The 5905-nt window shown below is 43.1% G+C and overlaps 1 protein-coding gene across 2 annotated transcripts; it reads left to right on the top strand.

Annotated features, from left to right (window-relative positions):
* Nucleotides 1-523: 523 nt before the first annotated feature.
* Nucleotides 524-3594, top strand: C12orf71 (chromosome 12 open reading frame 71). Of its 2 annotated transcripts, NM_001384983.1 has the most exons (3): nucleotides 524-646; nucleotides 2131-2683; nucleotides 3184-3594. In NM_001384983.1, exons 2-3 carry the CDS (start codon nucleotides 2168-2170, stop codon nucleotides 3475-3477), a joined length of 810 nt encoding a protein of 269 aa, NP_001371912.1. In that variant the 5' UTR covers nucleotides 524-646; nucleotides 2131-2167; the 3' UTR covers nucleotides 3478-3594. The 2 variants fall into 2 exon arrangements, with proteins under 2 accessions (NP_001371912.1, NP_001073875.1); NM_001080406.2 differs by lacking the exon at nucleotides 524-646 and having other exon boundaries at nucleotides 2073-2683.
* Nucleotides 3595-5905: the final 2311 nt, after the last annotated feature.

The raw sequence follows: 5905 nt of genomic DNA, 5'->3' as shown, positions 1-5905 counted from the left end.
TATCATGTCATCAGAATTCCTTAAACATCTTATTTAACAGAATATACAAATTTAAGCCAGTTCTACAGTGAAAAACCTGAGAGTGAGTCACGACAAACTTTAACTGTAATCTTGTATAATGGAAATGGAGAGAGACAAATATTGGGGAAAGATCTTAAGAAAACTGATGAATCCAATAGGTAGGTCAGATAAGTGTTTCTTGGCTTTCTGCTTTCCATTTGTAAGCATGTCTCTGTGTGTGTATGTATGTGTATGTTTATACCCATGCCCCTTATTTAGAGCTCTAAATCTCCTAAGGACGGGAACCATCTGCCACCTGACAAGAGAGAAGTAAACTCCATGCATTCGTTCTTCTACACTCAAGAGGGATCCTCTTCAGCCTAGGATGGTATGGGCATAGAATATTTTGGAAACAAAGGGATAGATTCTGTGGCTTTCTGTCCCCTTTTTTCCTTTTCTCTTTCCACATTCCTGGCTCTAACTTGGTTCTTTCTGTTGCCATGGTAACCAACAGTCTCAGAACACAGACTTCTGACAGCTGGACTTTTAGCCACGGAGACTCGGGATGTGAAGGATTTCTCGTGTCTCCTTTTTTTGCCTCAGGAGTTAGCAGCACTTCTTCCACGTGGGCAGCCACCAGAGCAGGGTGTGACAGTCTTTTGTTTGTGTGTGTGTGTCTGTGTGTGCGCGCGTGCACGCGTGCATGCACGTGCACATTCTTCCAGCCCTACTTACTCTGGGGCTTCACAGAAAAAGCTGGACTAAACAGTGTCATCAGACGGTGGGAGGATGGGCATCTAAATACCAAAACCTTCTGGAAAGTAATTTGGTATCAACTACCACAAGACTTTAATATATTTATGGGGTTTGGTCCATTAATCCTACATATAGAAAAATAAGAGACATAGTCAAAGATTTATGGAAAAGCGGGTTTATTACAGATTTATTTAGCATTAATAAGAAGTGGTTAAAAATTGCAGAGTAACCATATATATGTTTGTTGTAGGCTATGGGATAAAATAATTTCAGTTTCAACTATATGTCATATCCACATTTACATATATGTATATGTGTATGTGGACATATTGTATAAATGTACAGATATGTATATGTGTGTTTATATAAATAGAAAAGATAAGGAAGTCCATCAAAATGTTTTGATAGTTATCATTATCTTTAGAAGGTAGGACTACAGCATATTTATTTCATCTTCATACTTTCCTATATTTTTCCAATTTTATACAATGATCATCCTTTTCTTTTATGATACAAGATCTTACAACCACAGTAGGACAAATGATGAGAAGTGGAGATGCTTAGTAGAGAGGATTATAATACAATGAAATAAGTTTTAAAAGGGAGAGGGCTGCCTCTTCTGCCCTTCACTGAGAGATTGTAAAAACTGGATAACACTGGCCAGGCCTGGTGGCTCATGCCAGTAATCCCAGCACTTTGGGAGGCCGAGGCAGGTAGATCACGAGGTCAGGTCAAGACCTTTCTGGCTAACATGGTGAAACCCCTTCTCTACTAAAAATACAAAAAATTAGCTGGGCATGGTGGCATGTGCCTGTAGTCCTAGCTACCCGGGAGGCTGAGGCAAGACAATCTCTTGAATCCAGGAGACGGAGGTTGCGGTGAGCTGACATCACACCACTGAACTCCAGCCTGGACAACAGAGCGAGGCTCCATCTCAAAAAAAAAAACAAAAACAAACAAAAACTATTGGATAATACTTCTATCTAAATGGGGTAGTTCTGAATAGAAAAGGGAATGGGGCCGGGTGTGGTGGCTCACACCTATAATCCCAGCACTTTGGAGGCAAAGGTGAGTGGATCACCTGAGGTCAGGAGTTCGAGACCAGCCTGGTCAACATGGTGAAACCCCATCTCTACTAAAAATACAAAAATTAGCCAGGTGTGGTGGCGTGTGCTTGTAGTCCCAGCTACTCGGGAGGCTGAGGTTGCAGTGAGCCAAGATCACACCACTGCATTCCAGCCTGGGAGACAGAGTGAGACTTCGTCTCAAAAAAAAAAAAAGAAAAAAGAGAAGGGAATGGATAATGTTTTTGCTTAAGTACTATGACTCTCTTCTCCTTAGTCCCACCTATTTTTTCTTTTTTCTTTTTTGAAGCTTCTCAAGTTGAGAGAAATTTGTGCCTTTGAACTCCATGGCATATTCATCCTCTAACAGCGACATAGAGGACGACAGCTCCAAATCCAATTCCAACCTGAGCCTCTCTGTGGGCTATTTCCCCTGTGAGGACACCCCCTGTGAGGACACAACCTCCTGGGAAGATGCACCTTCCAAGGGTCCTTCCATCCACTTTCTGCCTCCCGTCCAAGGGGCATGGGGGACTGAAAGGATAGGGAGACGCATGAAGAGACAAGACCAAATTCAGGATGAACCAGAGCAGTTTTGCAAACTAAGCATCTTCCTGGCCTGGGACGTGGACATTGGCTCCGATAACACAGACTCAAGAGCTAATAGGCTTCTAAATGGAGACAACCTGTGGATAGACAAGTTACCAAAAGAGAGAACAAAACTGTCTGTTGGCAAACTGAATAATCTTGTGCAAGAGTTTCAGATATTTCTAGAAAATCTGAAAGATGATGACGCTGTATTTCCTGAAACTGCTCAGCAAGATTTCCAGCTATCCAGCGGCTCCCCTCCGGAAATGGTTCAGGTCAGTCATCAGGAATATGATGCTTGTCAAGACCTGCCCAAGTGCAAGCCACCAGAAAATAAAGATGTTATGTAGTCTCCACAGACTCCTCTAAGGCTTAAGGGACATGAGCTGGCTGAGGAGAGCAGAGATGCCTCACAGGACAGGAAGGGATAGGCCTGGGTTGAACCACAGAATCTTATGACCACTAGGAGGAGGCAGGTCCCAGGGGGACTGACGTGATACCAGTGGGAGACAACAAGGAAAGGAGTCAGGGTGAAGCTGTAGGGAAAAGACTGGGAATGCTGAGGGAAACAAGAGGGTAGCAAGCAAGGAGAAGGGCTAACTATATCTCCCTCCCCACCAAAAACGTATATGTTTAGTATTGATGAGCATTGAAACTCTGCATTGACACTTGGGCTATTTTTGGTAAAAGGATGTGAGTTCCACAAATGAGTAAACGTTGATTTGGCTGTTGTCATGGTTATTCCTACCTAACACATCCTTCATTTTCATGGCAGATGATAAGCCAGGCAACCGCCAGCCAAAGGACAAGCGCTCCAGAGATCTCCTCAATCCTGTCAGAGCAGCCAGAGAAGGATGACACTCCTTCACACACACAGGCCCAGTGCTGCCTGAACTTTGGGTGGGCCTTCAGCTGGCTGAGGCAGCGTATCCTCCCCTCTCTGCTGAGGAGGGATCACCCTGTGAATGCCACCAAAAGTCCCCATCGGTCAGCACCAACGAAAAGACTCTTTCACAGAGGCAAGAGAATTCAACCTCAAGAAACCCTTGAATTAGGACATCCCATATAGACAGATTTTTAAACTTTTTGGAAAGTTTAAAATAATCCATAATAAGGATTCCATTAATAATCCCCATCAGTTTGTTTTTTCCTCAATAAACAAAATAAATGCTCTTGTTACCCCACATCTTCCTCTCCCAGCACACCATCTTGACTCACATTTCAAGCATATGTGGGCCAGGCGCAGTGGCTCACACCTGTAATCCCAGCGCTTTGGGAGGCTGCGGCAGGCAGGTGGATCACCTGAGATCAGGAGTTTGAGACCAGCCAGGCCAACATGGCAAAACCCCATCTCTACTAAAAATACAAAAATTAGCTTGGTGTGGTGGGGGGCGCCTATAATCCCAGCTACCCAGGAGGCTGAGGCAGGAGAATCGCTTGAACCTGGGGGCAGAAGTTGCAGTGAGCTGAGATCACACCACTTCACTCCAGCCTAGGCAAAAGAGCAAAACTCTATCTCAAATAAATAAATAAATAAATAAATAAATAAATAAATAAAAATTAAAGAAAAATTTAAAAAAAGAAAAGAAAGTATATGTGTTGTCTAGAAGACAAATTTATTCTCAGGAAATTTTAAGTAGTATTATGCTTCCTAAACTGAAGTATTCTTTTTCTCTCCTCTCACCCATTCTTACTGTATTTTACCCTAGTTTACCTATTTTATGTGTTTTAACCTATTTTATCACTAACCCAAATCCCCATTTTCAGTAGGCAGCAGCGTGACCCATCAGATTCCTGTGGTGGCAGGATGATTTGGCTTGAACTTGCAGGGCTTGAGTGAGTGGCAGTGGGTATTGAGTCACTGAGGAAATTAATTTCAATTTCAGGAGATCGGACAGCAGTTCTGATATTCTCTGGGTACTTGACAGGTTCCAGCATGTGTTGCCTTGGCTGTAGTAGTGGCCCACTTAGGAGCAATGTGACGACTGTGAACACTTCTTAACCACTCTAAGTCTAGCTGTCTTCATTCAAAAGAAGTGGAAGATAATAATACATACCTCACAGGGTTAGTGTGAGAGTTTATGAGGTAACACAAGCACTTGATAAATATTATTACTGTTGTTGCAAGTAGACATTATCCTGAGGAACTCTCCAGACAACTTGTTCAAGGGATATCCAAGAGTGAGAGTTAATTAAGAGTCAATTCTCATTGAAACATTTCCCACACAGAGCAGTATTTACCAAAAGTTCAGGGTTTTCAGCAAATCTTAACCAAATCCTCTCCCAACCCATTCCATTCTGCCCTCTGAAACTCCTTTGCAATTGTCATTGAACGTTCCACTAAATGTCAACTTCTTTGAGGAAGGCTGCCCTCAGCCTTCTTGTCCTGACTCTCACCTCCCCAGCATCTCTACCATCCTCCTCATTCAACCACAGGTTCACTCAACGTCCTTCTTCTTCTGCTGGCACTACCATCCTGTGTGACCTTCAGAGTTTACGTGGCAAAGCATATGACTCTTCAGTTTCAAATTCCTTCCTTTCCTCAATTTCAATTCTGTATCCCTCTCCTTCCTCTCTTCTTCCTTCCTTCTACAAATATTTAACAAATAGGAGTGCCAGATACTTTTCAAGCTTGCCAAAAAAACAAAAACAAAAACAAAAAAACCTCCAATCTTTAGGCTCAAGCAACTTATTTAAGACATAAGGTCAGGCAAACATATGATTATAAAGGGTATGAGTGATAATACTCTATAGTGAGTAAACGCTGAGTTCTAATGAAAAAAATAACCCATTCAGCATGGGGGGGTTGGTTGTAAAAGGTTTCCTGTATGAGATTCTTTGGGTTACAAATGAGATTATTTAAGGTGGAGGACTTTAACTGACTTTAATTAGTATGGAATGGAGGTATGAGATCTTGACTGGTTAAAAATGCAGGTGAAAGACAGTGTGGTGAATATGGCCCAGGAAAGACAGTACAGTAGGAGGGAGGAGATAAAAAATAGGGCCCTTTTAGGAATATATGCTCAAGGTCACACCCCAAGGCCTCTCACTTCGTCAGCCTCCCTGAGGACACCTGCCCAACCCACAACTCAGTTGAACACACTCTCCCACCTTTGCCTGCTCTTTGACTTCACCAAGATTTGGAGTCCTATCACCACACCTGTTCCCCGACTTATATCCGCTTCTGTCTAGATCCAACCCATACACCTCCTTCCCAAACTTGGCATTTCTACCACATCTAGTGACATCTGCCATGTTGCCCTTCTCCCAAACCTTTCTAAAATCTATACTCACCAAGTTCCCCAAGGGGACCCTCTTGCTCCTCACTGCAGCCAACACACAAAACCATAGGGAATTCCCTCTGCATTCCCTGACTGCCTGGGAAACTCATCCTTAAAGATCCTGCTCTAGGGTTTCTATGGGACTATATTGATCCCTCAGGTAAAGGATCATGACCCTCCTTTAGCTGTCCCCTAGTCCCTGCCCTGCCACCTTCT

This window comes from Homo sapiens, chromosome 12 (genome assembly GCF_000001405.40).
Source record: "Homo sapiens chromosome 12, GRCh38.p14 Primary Assembly".
NCBI classification, from domain to species: Eukaryota; Metazoa; Chordata; class Mammalia; order Primates; family Hominidae; genus Homo; species Homo sapiens.
Note: the sequence above shows the minus strand (reverse complement) of the source record. Positions and strands in the feature narration are given on the sequence as shown.